Genomic DNA, 19,046 nt, shown 5'->3' on the forward strand with positions numbered 1-19,046 from the left:
AAGGAAAAATGAATCCCTGGGGTAGGCATGTCACATGGCTCTGGTAAAGGGATGGAAGGGGAGTCAAGGGATGAAAGGAGAGCTCGGGCAAGACACTAGAAGAATGCTCACCCAACATGCCCTCTGCATCCTGCGTGTGAGGATGCGGGTGTGTAAGGACCTGAGGCCTGCTAGTCCTGCATCATCCTGCAACTGTGGAAGATGCTCAGGAAGACAGCAGGGCCTGCCATCACTGAGCCACTCAGTGAACACCAGCCATGGCCTCCCTCCAGGTACCTTATTATGAGAAGAACAAACCCAGCTTGTTTAAGTCCCACTTAGTCAGGTGTTATTACTCCTAGCAGCATTTCTAACGGACAGAACCACCTTCTTGCCAGGGGTGTTTTCAGGGTCAACTAAGACAACATGAGAAGCATGGAATAACATTCAGGCACCGTAAAGTGCACAGTATGTGAGCTTTCCCTTCCCTGTACCACATCAACTATGACTTAAAAGCCTGCTCTAATTTATCAAATAAAATATCACACCACTATGAGAGACTTCTCAAATCCTTTGTTTCCAAAAACACAGAAATCTCCTTTCAAGCTCCCCACAGATACGAGTCCAAATAGAAGCTATTTTCACAAAATTCCAAATAACACAACTCTCTCTTATCTCTTATCTAATCCCATACACTAAATCTAACATCTGCAACTTTTCATGCCCGAAATCTGCACGAGTTCATTAATTAAATGAATGAGATGTCCACTCATTCATTTAATCAATGAACATTACAACATGCCTACTCTGTGGCAAATATGCCTAACAGGATGGAGGCATAACGCCTAGGGGGAAGAGGGGAAGAGAGAGCAAAAAGGTGACAGTGACAGAAAATAAAATGGAGATGGAAGAAAGAAAAGAGAAGTGAGCATGTAGAAATAGTGGTGGAGTCTGTCATGGCAATGAGCACGCCGGCTGTAGCACCACAGGCGCCCCGGCCCTGGCAGCATGTGCTCTAGGAGTCCTCCCTCCAGCCCATTAAGGGTGACAATGGCTCTCCCTTTCTGCAAAACTAGCCAATATGCATGGGCAACTTCGTAGGGTTGGTGCTCTTTTGGTCAAGGATACACTTCGAAGAGACAAACTCAAATTCTTCCTTATTTTTCATTTTGGAGAAAACACACACACACACACACACACACACACACACATACACATACACACTACAAACTGCATAAACTAGTTACATGTGAAAGCTTATGAAACCACCAGTACTGAGACTACCAGTATCATTAAAAATGTAGAATAGGCTGGGCACAGTGGCTCACACCTGTAATCCCAGCACTTTGGGAGGCCAAGGCAGGAGGATTGCTTGAGCTCAGGAGTTCGAGACCAGAGTGGGCAACATAGTATGACCTCATCTCTACTAAAAAATAAAAAAAAATTAGCCAGTCATGGTGGCACGTGCCCCGTAGTTCCAGCTACTCAGGAGGCTGAAGTGGGAGAATCACTTGAGCCTGGAAGATCAAGGCTGCAGTGAGCCACGATGGTGCCACTGCACTCCAGCCTGGGTGACAGAGCGAGACCCTGTCTCAAAAATAAATAAATAAAAATGCATTATAAAAAGATATTTTAATTAACCTACTGCACTCTTGGCTTTTAGCTTTTTAAAACGGCTTTTGTCTGTAACAGTGATTCTCAACTGGGGGTGATCTTTTCCCCCCAGGGGACATTTGGCAATATTTGAAGACATTTTCGGTAACCACAACTGGGGAGGGGTACTACTGGCATCTAACAGGTAGAGCCCAGAGATGCCGCTAAACATCCTACAATGCATAGGGCAGTCCCCACAATCAAGAATTTATCCAGCCCCAAAGGCCAATAGTGACAACGCCGAGAAGCCCTAGTCTACAGCTTGTCTGCTACTTCAGACCTACCACCTGATCCATGGGGTCACTGGAGTAGTAGTTTTCTGAATGAGTGCATCGAATCCACACAGGCTTAAGAAGTTCTTCTTCTTCCTCCTCATTCTTGTCAGGCATGGTCTCCTCGGGCTCTTTTTCCTTGATTGAGGTATAGTTCTTGTCTTTGCCAGAACTCTGGTTGTCACTCCAACGGTCTTTTTCTTCCTCCCAACGAGCTCTCTTCTTCTCCCTACTTGGGGAGCGACTTCAAAAGAGGGCAAAGGAGGTTAATTATTAAAAATACTCTTCCACTGTAAAAACTATTCTATTTCACCTATTTGGTGCATTTTTCACCTAAAATATGAATACCATGCCAAATCACCGTGTGTACTTTTGTTAAACCAGTGACTCCCAAATACCAGTCTGGTGGCATCAGAATCACCTGAAGTTTACTTGTTTAAAAATACAAATTCCCAGGCCCCACCCCAGATCTACTTACTGATTCACAATCTCCAGGGGTGGGGCCCAAGAATCTGTATTTTTAATAATCTCCCCAGGTAATTCTGGTGTGCATCCAGCAGGTTCAGGAACAACCGATAAACCGTAACTCCTAAAAGAAAAAGATATTTGCAAAATGTTTGGAAATGTCCACATATGGACAATTTCAGCAATGAGAATACCAGTTTTGAATCCTCCACATCTGTCTTTGCCAGGAAAAAAAGATTTTAAGACTTCACAAAACAGGGTCTCAATATGGCCATAAATTTGGCCTGAGGACTATAATTATAATCCGAGAGTGAACCACTTATGTCATCCCTAACTGTCTCTGGAACCCCAGTCTTGGGCATTACTACTTGGTGAACCAACACTTTGCCTAATGTTGGTCCTCACAGATATTAATATTAACTCAGTCAATAAAGAAAGATGAAAAAACAACTCCATCTCCCTGACTTCCTGGGGCTTGAAATCTGCAAAGACCCATCCTATGGATGTACTTGGAGGGAAAAACCTATAGGGTCAGCTGGGCGTGGTGGCTCACATCTGTAATCCCAGCACTTTGGAAGGCCGAGGCGGGAGGATCACTTAAGCCCAGGGGTTCCAGACCAGCCTGGGTAACATGGTGAAACCCTGTCTCTACAAGAAATACAAAAATTAGCCAGGCATGTTGGTGCACACCTGTAGTCCCAGCTACTCAGGAGGCTGAGGTGGGAGGATCACGTGAGCCTGGAAGGCTGAGGCTGCAGTGAGCTATGATTGCACCACGCACTCCAGCCTGGGCAACAGAGCAAAATGCTGTCTCAAAACAACAATAACAACAAAACCTACAGGGTAGATTTTAATTTAAGCCCAAGAAATTTAGGTAGAACACAGAGACCTTGAGAATCCAGCTAAGTAGAAAAACTGCTTTGTAAGATCACCTGGTAGCCTTCACAGCTCCACTAACAAAGTTACTACTATCCATGTAAGTTTACATCCAGATCAAAGTAATAAGTATTCTCATTAACTCTACCACTAACTTGTAATTTTCTAACAGGGAAAGTCTGTATGTATATATATGTGTGTAGGTATGTATACTTTGGGAGGATTAGAAAGATTATACATATTATTTATATAACTTCCAGACATTACAATACGCATCATTAGTTTTGTTACCAGAAAAATTACTGTCAATGTATGTTCGCTGTAGAAAAAATAAAGCACAAACATAAAAACCACACATAACACCACTCAGAGAAAATCACTATATTTCATAAATGTTTTAATGTTATAGCCTGACCTTCTCATTCAGTAGTAAATCAGGAACACCTATTTCAATAATTATATATTTGGAGCATTTTTAATAGGTACATTATTATTCTTTTATATGTATATACCATAATTTAACAAAACTAATAATAGTCATTTAGGTTAACATTTACTTCTCTTCCACCATAAACAATGCTATCATGAACACATTTGTGTTCTTTGCACACTTGTCAGATTCTTTCCCAAATGCATACTTTTTAAGGCTTCTCTCTAGTTAGGCAGTACTCGTTTAGACTACCATCAAAACCACATAAGAGTTCCCATTTCCACACATCCTGTCACTATGGTTATTTTTAATCTTTGCCATTCTGATGAAACAGTATTTTCATATAATTTAATTTGAAGTATTTTATCAATATTGAAATGAATATGTTTCATGCTTAAGTCTTTTGTGAACATTCTGGTCACAGGCTATGCAAATTTTTTAAAATTATGATTAGAGTCTTTAATTGGTTGAAACAGTTTTCATTAAGATAACTGTCCTCCCTCTGTCATATGCATTGTAACCGTTTCCAGTTTCTTGCTTTGAAATCTGTTTGCTGCTACATACAACTTTTATAAAGTCAAATCTAGAGATCTTTTTATGCTTCCTGCCTTAGTATGCTTGGAAGCCATTTCCTATCCCAAGGTTAAAAAAAGATTTTATATTTTCATCAGTTACTTTTAACACAATTTTTAATTCTCTCTCTCCAAGGTGTAAGGCAGAAATCTAATCTCAATTTTTCCTCCAAATGGCTCACCAATTGCCAGTTTCTCCTCTGATTTGAAAAAAACATATTCTTTATCACATGTAACTTTACATATTTATTAGATGTACGTAATACATATTCTTGAATGTTGCTCTGTAGTTGTTTCAATGATCTATTTAACCTATATCAAATTTTTAAAATTATTATATATTTCCAGAACCTTTAATACTTCCAGAGTAAGTATCCTTGCATTACTATTTTTCTTCATTATCCTAACTTCTATCCCAAGGAAAAATTAAAGAGTCATTATGAAGTCCTAAAGCCAGTACTTAGGGTCAGGTATGGTGGCTCATGCCTGTAATCCTAGCACTTTGGGAGGCCGGGGTAGGAGGATCACTTGAGGCCAGTCGTTCAAAGACGAACCTGGGCAACATAGCGAGATCCCCATCTCTTTTTACATTTTTAATAACTAAAAAAAAAAGAAAAAGTACTTTAACTGAAGTTACGTTAAAATTATAGATTACAGTCATATGTCACTAACAACAACAGAGATATAGTCTAAGAAATGAGTCCTTAGGTGATTTCATCACTGTACAAACATCACAGTGTGCCTACACAAACTTAGATGGTATAGCCTACTACACACCTCGGACAGGCGGTATAGCCTGTTGCTACTAGGCTACAAACCTGTACAACATGTGACTGCACTGAATGCTGTGGGCAACTGTAACACAGTGGTAAATATTTATGTAACTAGACATATTTGAACATAGAAAAGGTCCAGTAAAAAAATAAGGTATTATAATCTTTGGGACCAACATTGTATACAGTCTGTCACTGAAATGCCATGTGGTACGTGACTATATTGTGAAGAAAACTGGTATTTTTACGACATGGTCATCCACTACGGGAAAAGGACATACCTTCCTTTTATTACATCACCTTCTTTGTCATCAGCTACATTTTATAGTTTTCTTCCCATTGGTCCTATGCATTACAAGATGCTTAAATTATTTGTTAATAACTTTCCATAGTGAATTTTAATTTGTCTTTGCATTACATTTTCTAACCAGGTAGTCCTTTTTACTTAAAAGGCTGTTAAAATACTGTCAGGTAATAACGGCAACTCTTAGCTCCTAGGGACTCTTTTTGGTTTGTTTTGGTGCTTACTCTGAGGCTGGCACCCTGCTAAGCACTTTACTGACATTTCACATTTAATCCTGACAGCAAGCCTAGGAGGCAGATATTAACATCCCCTACAAAGGAGGCAACAGCTTTGAAAATCAGTCACTTGCCTAATACGATAAAGCTAAAAGTGGTAGTTAAATGCTAATATGGTTGATACAGACATTTCATCATGTTCTAAAAAGAAATTCCACCAAATGTTTTATTGCCAAGAAACACAGGCAAAAGACATCCTCACCCATCCTTTTAAGCAGGCGTTGTGAATGATGTAATGAATGGTCAGGGTCAGTTGTTGTGAACATCAGTTAATATTTTTTTTAACACTTTGAGAAGGGCATTTCAACACAGAAACAAAAGATCTTTTTTAGGTAAGTGTCTCAGGCACTCCAAAATTCAAAATCCAAACTCCCAATGTTTCTTCTTACCAATATGCCACAGTGCAAACTGGTAAATTTTCCCCCTCACAGTATTTCCATTTCTAATTTTTATTTTCTGCTGCGTTAGTCAGAACTTACAGAATTCAAGTCTACCTTCTCTGCAAGCTACCAGGCATTAGAGAAGAAACCATTAAACCGAGGCTATTTCCAGCACTTATACATTAAAAATCATCCACCTCAAATAGGTCCTCAATGATGTCCACTGACACAATACTCTGGCTTTTCTCCTGTCTCCTCTCCTCCTCCTCAGGCCCTCTTGTCATCTTTCCTAATTAATCCCATCTAACCCATGGCATTTCATCCTTCCTAATTAATCTCATCTAATCCAGAGCAACATGTAAGTGTCCTATCAAACGCACTTACAGCACTTAACTTTCCTTTTCCTATTAAGTGGGGGCCTTTGTTAATGCCTATATCACCCATACCAGTACAATACCCGGGACACACAAAAACACCATGTTTTTAATTACCATGTTGATTGTATCACAAGGATATTCAGTAACAACGATAAGCAATGGGGCCTCCTTGCCTTTTTTCAAATTTGTATGGGAAAGGCCTGCAGGTTTCAACACCACATTTGACTCTTTGGGGATGGTATCCATCAGGTTCATCGTGAGCTACCATTCTTCATCATGTTAAAGACAACTGTTAATATTTCTAGTTTACTAGTTTTTACTCACATATGGATGCTGATTTTAGTTTAAATACCTAAAAGGTAAGTACTGAGATAACCCTACAGATTTTGACACATACAATACAGATTTTCTAATATTAACTTTTCTATCCATGCAGTCTTGGAATAAACTCTATCTGTTATTTTAACAAACTACTGAAAACATTTGCTAATATCCTAATTCGTGTTTTTATATCCATATTTGTAAGAGAGATTGCTGTGTCGTTTTTGTGTCATTTTTTTTCCCTTGGTTAGGTTTTGCCATCTGGTTTTTCCTGCTACTACAGAATGAGCTGAGCTTTCCTTCCATCTTTTTTTAGTGTTCAAGACCACTTTAAAGCTTTTTTTAGAGGTGGTGCAAAGTAAGCTTTTTCCATTTTTCGAGTTATTGACCTATTAAAGTTTTCTGCTTCTTGTGTGAAATTATTTTTGTTTTCTTAGAAATCAACCCATCACATTCAAGTTAATTTTTTAAACGGTTTTAAATTTTTTAATTTCTTTTCATTCCTGTAACAATACACTTTCTCAAACCTAATGTTATGTAGATTTTTCTTTTATTTCCCACTTTAAAAATTGTATTTGCATTTACTTACAATATAGTTATATCACTGTAGTTCTATTTCCATTTCATTAATTTATCTTTAAATCCCTTTTTCTGCTTTTCTTAAGCTCCACCAATTTCTATAGCCAAGTGCTCAGATAATAATTATATACATAGTTACCATTTATTTGGCACTTACTTCAGGCCCAGTTCTAAGTGTTTGACATGCATTATCTCAATGACCCCTTATCACTCAAGAAGGTACATATAACTGTCCTTATTTTACAAACGAAGACACTGATAACTTTGCCCAGTAATAAAATTGGGAGAGCTAATAACTGACCCCGAATCTGTCAGATTCTAGAGTGCTGTTCTTCATTACCATCATATTAATGTAAGACCACAAAATTTTACTTCGGGATATAGAATTGATTACACCCTTTAAGTTTTGGGTGATAGCAATCTCAATGTCATTTTCTAATGAAAATATGACTGCAGTTTTGCTCTTTTTTTCTGAAACATGTAAATTTAAGAGCATAATTATGAATTTCCAAGGTTTTTTAAAATGATTAATGTATAGTTTTATAGCACTGTGGTCAGAAAAAGTGGTCTGTATAATTTCTAATTTTTGGAAATTTATCAAGATTTTCCTTGTGCATAATCAATGCATCTTGAAAGTAAAGTCTTTTAAATTACAGTCTGCTTTAGCTTTTCACAGGTCATCTTGGACAGACTCTGAGGCCATTATGAAGACTTGGCTGTTGCTCCATACAAGCACAAAATCTGAATTCAAGGAGATAATCCTATGACTTCTTTCAGTGTCAACTCCTTGCTTACCTTCCAGATCTCTTATACTCTTTTTTGTAGGACCTTTCCAGAGATGGTGATCTTCGGTTGTCTCGATGCCTGTGTCTCTCCCGTTCTCGCTCTCTTAAAGGAATTAATACACAGAGCTGTTTTCAACAGAAAGACTCAAAAACACCATCTCTTTTCACTGAATTCATCTTGTAAATAAATGGACCACATCTAGGAATTTTTCAGGCACTGTTCACTGGGGGACATTTTTATGCCTTCTTAATTTATTAGAGGATAAAGGAGCTTTTCACTTTACAGAAGTTAACTAACTTGGAGAATTTTTGCAGTTTTCTTTAAAGAAAGAAGTCATACATGATGCTACGCAATAATGGGAATTTTATCCTAATCTTCCCTTAAAACCTTGCAATCAGCCAATCCTTGGTTATTTAACCTAGAGGGAAAACTCTAAAGAACTCCACATCCTATTGATTTCTAAAAAATGCTCTATTTTACCTATCAAATAAATGTAAATTATAAAGCTTTTATAGTGAAAATTAGGACAAGGTTCTATAATGAAAGAGCTCTTAATGCTTATGGCTTATAGGCTTGAGTTGTAGATCTAGCTATCACTAACCTGCCATGAGGCCATGACTAAGTCACTTGAATGCTATTTTTCATCTGGAAAAAAAACTAAATAGAGATGTTGGGCTTACTTAATGTAAAAAAAAATAGATGAGGAATTTTTAAAACCTTCCAATGTAAAACTGGGGTTTAATAATATTAATAGCTTTTGAGCCTATTTAACAATGAGGACCTAGAAGAGAAATCTGAACTCTAGTGTGTCTGAATCAGAACTACAAGTCTAAAGGAAGTAACCTTCCAATCTTAGAACAGGAAAAATAAAATGCTATATTAACCTGAGTCCAGAAAGAAGACCATTAAAATGTTTGAACTCAAAAATATCCCCCAACCTATCACCAAACAGAAATGTCAATACATTGAAAATAGAACTTACAAAACTGACAGAGATCGGTGAGTGCTTAGGTATTAAAATAGAAATTGCTTTCCACTTAAAGATTCCCCTGTTCTAAAGGAAGACTCCTTTGAATAATGTTTCTGATATATATACAATCCTCAGATATATACCAGCTATCCCAAATAAAGCAGCCAGAGATTTGGATTCTACATTCTTCATCTCATACACTTCTAAAATCAGAGTTTACATTTGGGCAGTAAATCTTAGTTATTGTATAGAAATTAGTGAACCATGCCACATGTCAAAGATATATGTAATTTGTAATGGCACGGCTGTTGAAAAAAATAATTGCGTACATTTCCAAATAAAAACTCTAATTAGAGGATATTTCTAATATATTTTTTTTTACCATATAGCCAATAGAATTTTGCATTTAAGAATAACACTTCTAATGATGACTGGTACCTCTGAGTGGGTAGGACTTGAAAAGACCAATTTGGATATAAATCACATTAGTAACACTATTAAGACAAATTCTTTTAAAGCAAGAAAAGCTATGTTTGTGTTACTTTTCCCAAGATTCTTCCTTGTTTGCAAACATTAAGATATTCCTTAGGTACATTAGGGTAGTTCTCCAGTAGCTACACATTTACTGTCACAAGGTCAGCCATGAGAATTCTTGCGTGGTAGCACTCCCTAGCTAGGTGAAGCCCAGGGCACACATCCTTACCACTCTGCTCAACAGTGTGCTTGGTGCACTACATCTGCCTGTAGCAATTTCTTTCCTTATCCCTGGAGTAACTTTCATTTTTCATGACAACAAATACATATATCCACTTTTTCACAGACCTTTTCTAAAAACAGTCCACCCTAAGACAATCTTGCAATTGTTATTCAACCACATTTTGGAGGCAGAGAAAAATAGGGAACACAGAATTTGTAAAAGGATAGATTCACTTACCCCAAGAAGCAGGGGAGGGGCAACAAGAAAACAGACTATAGAATTTGCATAAACTTAACACAATGCAAATTTATGAAGTTTCAGTTTTCCAAATATACTTCTAGAAGTTATATTAGGACTTCATGTGCTCCATGTTTGTTTCACAGAAGCATGCCATATAAGACAGATGACTGACATTCCACCTAATTAATATCCCAAAGGGAGCCAATTATAATGTAGCTATGCCACTAGGCAGCTCCAGAGCAAATGCCCCAAGCACATTATAAAACAACTCGAATATAAATAAAGCCCGTTTTAGAAAGATATAGATCCTCATAGTAAAGGAGTGTGGTTTAGGATAAATCAGGTTAGAAGTAATTCTTACGACACTTGATTTTACTGAGATCCGCAATTCACAGGACATCTGAGTTTCTTCAAACAAATACATAACTCCAAGTTGAAGCCTTGATGGAAAAATTTAGGATTTACAGCAGAGCCCTGACAACTCCTCTAATTATAGCATATCAAAACAGAGGCGGAAATACAACACTATCTAGAATGTTTGCTGCAAAATGTTTTCCCAGAAGCAAAATTATTAACAATTACTTTAGAGTCTGAAGAAAACTATTTACAAACTATTTACTCTTTCCAGTTAACATTTGCACTATAAAACTGTAACATTAACTATCACATGCCAGCCAGGAGCGGTGGCTCACACATGTAATCCCAGCACTTTAGGAGGCTGAGGCAGGCAGATCACCTGAGGTCAGGAGTTCGAGACCAGCCTGACCAACATGGTGAAACCCCATCTCTACTAAAAATACAAAAATTAGCCGGGCTTGGTGGCAGGTGCCTGTAATCCCAGCTACTCAGGAGGCTGAGACAGGAGAATCGCTTGAACCCGGGAGGCAGAGGTTGCAGTGAGCCGAGATCGCGCCATCACACTCCAGCCTGGGGAACAAAAGCAAAACTTTGTCTCCAAAAAAAAAAAAAAAAAAACAACAAAAAAAAAACTATCACATGCCTATGCCTTTGCCAACTAGTCCATCACAGAATATTGACCAGAAACAGTAGTTCATGCTGAAAAGATTTTTAAAGTCTACCAACTCTCACTCAGCTTTGGCCCACCAGAAATGAGTCATCCCTACAAGTAACACATTCCCTTCTATCTTCTACCAGGCCACCAGGGAGAGGCAACAAAGCATTTTCCTTCTGAACCTTCTGAGCACTAATCCCTCTCTTCAGTGCAGAGAATGACCACTATCATTTAATTTACTGGCAAAATGTTCAGTCAGAACCAAATTGATAGAGCCATGAGAAAAATGTGGAAACAGATGTGAACTGGTTCCTAAATCAGCTGCAGAGCAACAAGAACCAAGACCAGCTCTCTGCAAACCCAGAGTGAAGTGACTTGGTCTGGGGAGCTCAAACACTTTTAGCACAAAAGTTCCACAAGACAACGAAGGTAAGTACACTACTGGGGAAAGAAAGAGAAGCACCGTAATTAGCTTGACAACAGAAGATCTCAAATCTTCATCAGTGTAAGGGTTCACTGAGGCATAAATAAACATTAGCACAATTGATATGTGTCTTTTATTTTTCCATATAAACCAATGGTTCTCAGGCTTTTGGGATAACAGACTCACACCCTCCTTCTTTGAGAACCTGATGTAAGTTTCCTTCTAGAAAAACACACACACAAAAAAGTTGCATATAACTTCAGAGTATTTCTGTAAGCCCAGCTAGAATCCCAGTTTTAGAAATGCCTCCTTGAAACATTATTTCTCTCATATTTATACCTATTTGATCTTTTGAAAAAAGAAATGTAATATAGAATGAAACAGTATTTTTAAAATACAACTTTCTTCAGTAAGAATCCATTTCAATGCAACAAAATCAGATTAAAAGCAATTTTAGGCCAGGCATGGTGGCTCACATCTGTAATCCCAACACTTAAGGAGGCCGAGGTGAGTGGATCACTTGAGTTCAGGAGGTCAAGACCAGCCTGGCCAACATGGTAAAACCCCGTCTCTACTAAAAATACAAAAATTAGGCCAGGCGCAGTGGCTCACACCTGTAATCCCAGCACTTTGGGAGGCCGAGGGGGGCTGATCACCTGAGGTCAGGAGTTCGAGACTAGCCTGCCTAACATGGCAAAACCCCGTCTCTACTAAAAATACAAAAAGTAGCTGGGCGTGGTGGTGCACGCCTGTAATCCCAGCTACTCAGGAGGCTGAGGCAGGAGAATCACTTGAACCCAGAGGCAGAGGTTGTAGTGAGCCGAGACTGCGCCACTGCACTCCAGCCTAGGCAACAAAGCAAGACTTCATCTCAAAAAAAAAAAAAAAAAAAAAAAAATTAGCCGAGTGTGGTCACGTGCACCTGTAATCCCAGCTACTTGGGAGGCTGAGGTGAGAGAATTGCTTGAACCCAGGAGGTGGAGGTTGCAGTGAGCTGAGATCTCGCCATTGCACTCCTGCCTGGGCAACATAGCGAGATTCTGTCACAAAAAAAAAAAAAAAAAAAAAAAAAGATATTTTGAAAACTAACTTTCATAATGTGTAAATAATCTTACTTCGTTTTACAAAGAAACCAACCAAGAAGGCAACAATGTACAATAAATTTCTACTTATCCTAAAACTCAGAAAGTCCTTCCTGTTAACTAATTTGATTCTTTATTAACACGCAGATCGCCAGTTCCAAAAAAACTCAAATGCTATAACCTGATATGATGATCACATTGAACATAATTTAATCTATGATAACACAAAAAATACAAGATCTTTCATCTCATGGGATCATCATTAAAATGTCAACTGTATTATGCAGAGTAAAAGTCTTATATTCACTGAAATGAATCTACACTGATATATTTGGAATGCTTTTTAAAAGCAATTTTTTTCTGACATCAACTTATTTGTCAGTTGTTTCTTCCTCTTGAAAACAGAGTCCAAAATGTGCTTCCTTTCCTTACATAAATCAAGATGCCCTACTGGATCCTTTTGGTTTGGTTGTCATAAATGGAGAATGACCGTGCCTGGGCCTCTGCAGTTCATTAAAGAACTACACACAAGCGGTTTACCTGCTCCGTTCGTAGCTGCGGTGGCGAGATGGTGTTCTCCCTCGGTCATAATCAGATCTGTACCGGCTGTCTTGTCTTCTCCTGTCGGGACTGCGGCCTCGCTCCCGCCGATCCAGGGACCGATGCCTCTCACCTCGCCCATGACTGTGATCTCGGTGCCTGTGGTCATCATAGTGTTTCAGCCTTTCTGGGGACCTTCTCTCACTGGGAGCCTTTGGGAGTGGGTATGGAGGGAGATGTCTGAAATGAGGACTACTGCTGTTATTAGCACTGGGCAGGAAAGAACTAGGGTTGTTCTGGAAACTATTAAAACTGGGAGGTGGGAAGTTGTGGTGAGAATAGCCCGGAGGGTACTGATAATTAACCTGCTGCGGCATGACTGGAGGGGGCGGGGGATGAGGCATGGAGGGAGGGGGCATCATGAAGGGGAAAGTGCCTTGTCCAGGAGGTGCCCCAGGGACTGGGGGGTTATTAGGACAAGGCATTGGTGGTGGCATGGGAGGAAAACAAGGAGGAACTGGGAAGGGGTGCCTCATCTGGTGGTTGGGGAAAGGCGGCCTGATTGGGCAGGGGGGAAGAGGGCCTTGCGCTGACGGAGGCATGGGTGGGGGGAAGGGTACAAAGTCTGGTCGTGGAGGGAGAAAATTGGGGGCTGGAGAGTTTGAGAAAGTGGTGGAAGGGGCACTTGGAGGTTCATATTGATATTGCACAGGAGGCTGCTGAGGGTGAAGCAGCCTCAGATTTTGGGGCCTAAAGGATGGTGCTGAGGGTCTGGCTCCATGTCCTCCTCGTCCTCGGGGACACCCTCGTCCCGGGTGGAACGACATTCTGTGACTTCATGGCAGAAAAGAAAAAGGGAAAAGTTTTTTTAAAAAATAATTCTTACTATGTAAACAGGGTTTCATAAATGCCTGACCATCTTGATGAGCAACTCAAAGACCCCCTAGTCAAGCCACTGGAATAGGCCACCCATTTAATACTGGGTTCCTGCTAACATCTGAAACCCTCATGCTCAATAAACTCCTCTTCCCCTTTCTTGGCCACCCAGCCCACTGCCATGTTTAGTCCCTGGACCGACCATTCCTTAAAGCTGCTCCACTTCCAAAATGACCAATTCAACATCCCATTGTTCACCATTTGCTGTCATGCCTTTGCTCAAGTTCCCCTCTGATCTTGACCTCACAAGATCAAGGGGGCTTGCCTCCCCAGCCCCCACTCCCATCTCCAAATGCAGATTTGGGATTACCACCCCCCCTCTGCAATCCTCCACCTCTCCCTGATACCAGACCCTTCACATCAGCATTTGAAAGTGCTCAGGTCTATTCCAACATAAAGTACTTTCCTTGGCCTCCAGGTCTCCCTTGACTTTGCCCCTTCTTTGTCCTCCCCTTTACAGTCAAATGACCTGAAAACGTTGCTACAGACCGAATGTTTGTGTCCATCCCAAAATTCCTGCTGATGAAATCATAACGCTGATGTGATGCTATATGGAAGTGGGGACTCTGAGAGGTAATTATGATGGGATTAGTACCCTTATGAAGAGAGAAAGAGAAAAGAAATCCCTGCCACCCACCCCTTACCAGGTGAGACTACAACAAGAAGGCAGCCACCTGCAAGGCAGGAGGAGGGCATGCATCAGAAACCTGGCTGTGCTGGTACCCTGATCTCAGACTGCCAGCCTCCAGAACTGTGAGAAATAAATGTTTACTGTTTAAGTTACCCAGTCTATAGCATTTAGTCATGGCAGCCCAAGCTAAGACAAAAGTGTATATACTTCTAACTCACTCTAATCCGACTTCAGCTTCCACCACCTCTCCAATAAGTGACATGATCAGTGCCCACCTTGTCTTGAAAACCAAAGGTCATTTTCAATCACCTTGCTTGATCTCTGTGCAGCAATCAGTCCAGTTGCCTCCCCAGCCCCCACCCCCATGGATGCGTTTCTTGGCTTCCTGACATGATGCCTTCACTGTGGCCTTCCTACTTCTCTGGCTGTTCCTCCTGGCAGTCTCCCATACCAGCTTCTTCTCTGCTAGGGGGCCTTTAACCGTCTGGTATTCCTCAGGGGTCTAGCCCAGGCACTCTGCTCACTCTCTCTTCCAAAGTGATGCTACTCACCTGCACTGCTTCAATTGACATCAATCTGTCAGAAACTCCCAAGTTACACCTTTAGCCCACAACTTCTGAGCTCCAGACCCACACTGCCAATTACCAACCCCATCTCTCTCCTTGAGTGTCTCACTGACCTGGACCAACAAATTCAACATAACATATGCTAAAAGGAATTAATGACCTTGCCCTCCAAGACAAACATTTGCTCTTTTCCTAGTATTTCCTATCTCAATAAATGACACCATTAATAGTCCTTAAGACATGTAACAGGGAATCATCTGACTTGTCCTCCCTCACCCCCCATCCTTAGCTAAAAATTTACTTTAAAATTGCTGTCACTTATATGGCAACTATCCCTTAATAAAAAATAAACAAAAAATCCAATTGTTTCTGCTTCATAAATATTTCCTGAATTCATCTACTTCACATCATCACCTCTTACATGGCTATTATAATAATATCCTTGCTGGCCTTTCTACAACCACTGTCACTGACCCTAGGGCTTTGTTAGGTTCCTTGCTCTCACAACACTCTGTGCTGCTTCTTAGCAGGTCCTACAATAATTACAATCCACCTTCTAAGGACCTAATTCCACCTTTAATGTCTGCCTGCACCTCGGAACTGCAAGCGCTGTCAGGGCAGCGCTCTGGGATTTCTATTAACTGTTCTGGTCTGGCTTCCCAGCCCTGGGCATGGCCCTCTATTGTATTGTGCCCACTGTTGAAAGAATGAGCACATTATCCCCTCTCCCCATGTATCTAAATCCTTTCCACCCTCTATAGCCCAGCACCAATGTCTGCTCCTCTCTCGGTTCTCCCAAACTATTGCCATTCCCATCACGGCACTCACCATGTGTTTCCCTGCATCATGATGTTCCGCCTGGATATGTCACATCTTCCACAGAGAATATAAGCTCTAAAAAACAGAAAGAATAAAACAGACATAAACATGTTTCCCAAACTGCCAATGCTACAAAATATTTCTGCAATTACCATAACACTAATTTTGTAGTTTCCAATACACTTAGCCTACAAACAAAATTAAAAGCATGTTGAACTGTGTTAAAGTTTCCAACTAAATTTTTAATGTCCTTAAATTTTAAAATGTCATTATTACTAGTTTTGCCAACTCAAAACTATCAGCAGCTAAAAAGACTTATAGGCATAGATCATCTCTAATTTGTTAAAAGACTTGGGAAAAATATCATTTCCCCTCTCCCCCTTCATACTCTCGTTTCCTTCATGGTAAAAACAGGTAGGCATAGGCCGGGCATGGTAGTTCACGCCTGTAATCCCAGCACTTTGGGAGGTCGAGGCAGGTGGATCACGAGGGCAGGAGGTGGAGACCATCCTGGCTAACACAGTGAAATCCTGTCTCTACTAAAAATACAAAAACTTAGCCGGGCGTGGTGGTGGGCGCCTGTAGTCCCAGCTACTCGGGAGGCTGAGGCAGGAGAATGACATGAACCTGGGAGGCAGAGCTTGCAGTGAGCCGAGATGGCGCCACTGCATTCCAGCCTGGGCGACAGTCTCAAAAAAACAAACAAAAAAAAAAAAACAAAAAAAAAAACAAACCATGTAGGCATAGACCAAACACAAAAATCACAGTGAGACCAGCATTCAAATTCAAACATAACCAGAATCTTGTTAACACACCAGTTAATGATTCTTAATTTTCATTCTCAGTTCCTCCCACATAAAAACACTGTAAACATGAATGATTTTCCAAATACTTGAACTTCAGCAAAACATTTTTTAAAAACTCACATAAATATTGAGTACAAAAAGCTGTAACATAGAAACATTTTCTGAAAGTCTTTCTAAAAGTCTCATCAATAGAACTTTACTATGTAGACTTTCAAATGGCTCATGAAAATAATTTCAGATTATGCTAGCAGTCAGTGTGCTTAATAAATAATAGGCACCAAATAATATCTGATTTTTTTTTTAAGACACAAAGTCTACTCTGTCCCTAAGCTGGAGTGCAGTGGTGCAATCATAGCTCACTGCTGTCTCTTACTCCTGGGCTCAAGCAATCCTCTCACCTCAGCCTCCAAAATAGCTGGAACTACAGGCGTGAGTCACTGCGCCTGACTCCTTATTACTATTATCCAGTCCAGTACCCTCATGATAAACCTGGGGCCCGGACAGGTGCTCCTGCCACCATAGGCTACTCACTGCCAACAGAATCAAGTTCAACCTCTGTGCTTGGCATTTAAGGCTCTATTGACTCTGGACCCAGGCTTGTTCTCCAGTACCTTCCCCAGAAAGACCCTACTACCCCATGTTTTCCCAACAGATTACCATTCGAGTACAAAGAACCAGCTAGTTCTTTGCTCCCGTTCTCCTCTCTAAAATCTCCCACCCTAGGCAGAGGTTGCAGTGAGTTCAGATCGCGCCATTGCACTCCAGCCTGGGCAACAAGAGCGAAACTCTAGCTCAAAAAAAAAAAAAAAAAAAAATCTCCCAACGTATGAATCTGCCCAGTGATTTTCTATCCATCTATCAATCTTAAATGCCACCTCCTCTATGAAGCCCTTCCTGATTCCCTTAGGTAATCCCATTCCCTCTAGACTTAGTCTATACTTAATCCTTTTACAGCACTTACCAGAGACTGCCTCATATCATAGTGAAGTATGCACACGTCTAACTCTTCCACTAGATTATCAGCTCCTTGATGATATGGGTTGATTCACAGTCATTTCTGTATCCTTCACATCCCCGGGAAAAGCAACCTACACACAGTAGGTGGTCAATAAATGTTTACTCTCTCACCAATAGTATGTTTCCATGTTGCTACTGTACATTTCCCTTCCATGTACCTCCGCAACAGAAAGCAGGCCTTTTCACTGAGTCATGCAATATTTAATGAGCCCATAAATGGGAAGCACTGTCCCAGGCCCTGTAGACTCAGAGATAATAAGACACACAGCCTGTAGGATTCAAGGAACTCAGAACCCACGTACAAGTAAGTGTTTTAAAAATACAAAATAATGCAATAAACACACAAAAAAGAGGTATGTGCAGGGCTTAGGGGAACACAAAGGTGTGTGCCGCACCTAGAGGTGGGCAAAAGTCAGGGTCACGAACACTCTTGTACAGTGTGTAACAAGAGCTGAACATTCACTGCCAGATCCTCATGGATGTTTCAGTAGTTAGAAAATCTAAAAATACTAATCATGAAATTGACCTATTGAAGGCATAGTCCGGCTGTGTTGTGGATGCAGACTTTAATTCAAAAGTCAAGGAATTCACTGCACCTGGAAAAGTAACTCTCTTTTCTCCGTCTGTCTCTTCTCGGTTGCGGTTTGGAAACAGAGACACTGAAGGAGCTGTCTTGAATAGTTAACACGGCCAGAACGTCAGTGCATGTAAAAAGAATTTTAAAGTGTGACTACATTTTTATTGAGAACTCCCTCTTTCCCCAGGTGGATCTGCAGGGCAGTCACCTTCATCCTGATCCATAACTGCACATTTACTGTTTGCATCTCCCGCCAGACGGTACGCCCCACGAGGCAGGCGCTGAGCTCAGGATCTCACTCCCCTCCGAGAGCCGGGCGGCCCCAGGCCTGGACCATAGTGTGTGCTCCACAAATGAATGAAAGGTCTCCTTTTTCACTTCCACTTATTTGCGGGATCCAGGCCTAGCGTCGCTCTTTTGCCCTTAGCTGCAGATCTGAAGTGGGGCTGCCCGACCCCAATTCCCGGACGCTTTTCACCCCAGCCCCGGAGACTCCAGCCCCGTTTAAATCCTGACACTCGGAAACTCTCTTCTAACACTTGCAAGGTACCCCTTTTACCTATAAAAGGCTCTCGGGCCGCGAGATCGCCGTCAGAGCAAAGCCAGGCTACTACCGCAGGTACCAAGACAGTGGCACCGCCCGCGCCTCCGGAACAGGAAACCGAGGGAATTAAAAAGCAAACCTGA

At 40.8% G+C, this 19,046-nt stretch overlaps 1 protein-coding gene across 3 annotated transcripts in view, besides 1 other annotated feature; it reads right to left on the reverse strand.

The window, feature by feature from the left end:
* The window catches only part of DROSHA (drosha ribonuclease III), a 131,600-nt gene extending 112,578 nt beyond the window's left edge, over window positions 1-19,022 (reverse strand). Inside the window, exons 1-8 of one of the 3 annotated variants that reach the window (NM_001382508.1) lie at window positions 18,919-19,022; window positions 18,379-18,454; window positions 17,727-17,853; window positions 15,969-16,034; window positions 13,008-13,841; window positions 8,052-8,144; window positions 2,383-2,493; window positions 1,917-2,148 (exon numbers count right to left, since the gene is read on the reverse strand). In NM_001382508.1, the coding sequence (NP_001369437.1) occupies window positions 1,917-2,148; window positions 2,383-2,493; window positions 8,052-8,144; window positions 13,008-13,841; window positions 15,969-15,988 (1,290 nt within the window). In that variant the 5' untranslated portion in view covers window positions 15,989-16,034; window positions 17,727-17,853; window positions 18,379-18,454; window positions 18,919-19,022. The remainder of the gene's footprint in view (window positions 1-1,916; window positions 2,149-2,382; window positions 2,494-8,051; window positions 8,145-13,007; window positions 13,842-15,968; window positions 16,035-17,726; window positions 17,854-18,378; window positions 18,455-18,918) is intronic. The other 2 variants (NM_013235.5, NM_001100412.2) reach the window with 2 other exon arrangements.
* Window positions 9,107-9,276: an enhancer, noted in NCBI's record as "experimental_84483 CRE fragment used in MPRA reporter constructs". NCBI's record gives its function as "activates a minimal promoter by MPRAs in K562 erythroleukemia cells, with activity observed for both the introgressed and non-introgressed 5:31522370 variant alleles {active_cell/tissue: K562}" and the evidence as "EXISTENCE:reporter gene assay evidence [ECO:0000049][PMID:34662402]".

Source organism: Homo sapiens, chromosome 5 (assembly GCF_000001405.40).
Source record: "Homo sapiens chromosome 5, GRCh38.p14 Primary Assembly".
NCBI classification, from domain to species: Eukaryota; Metazoa; Chordata; class Mammalia; order Primates; family Hominidae; genus Homo; species Homo sapiens.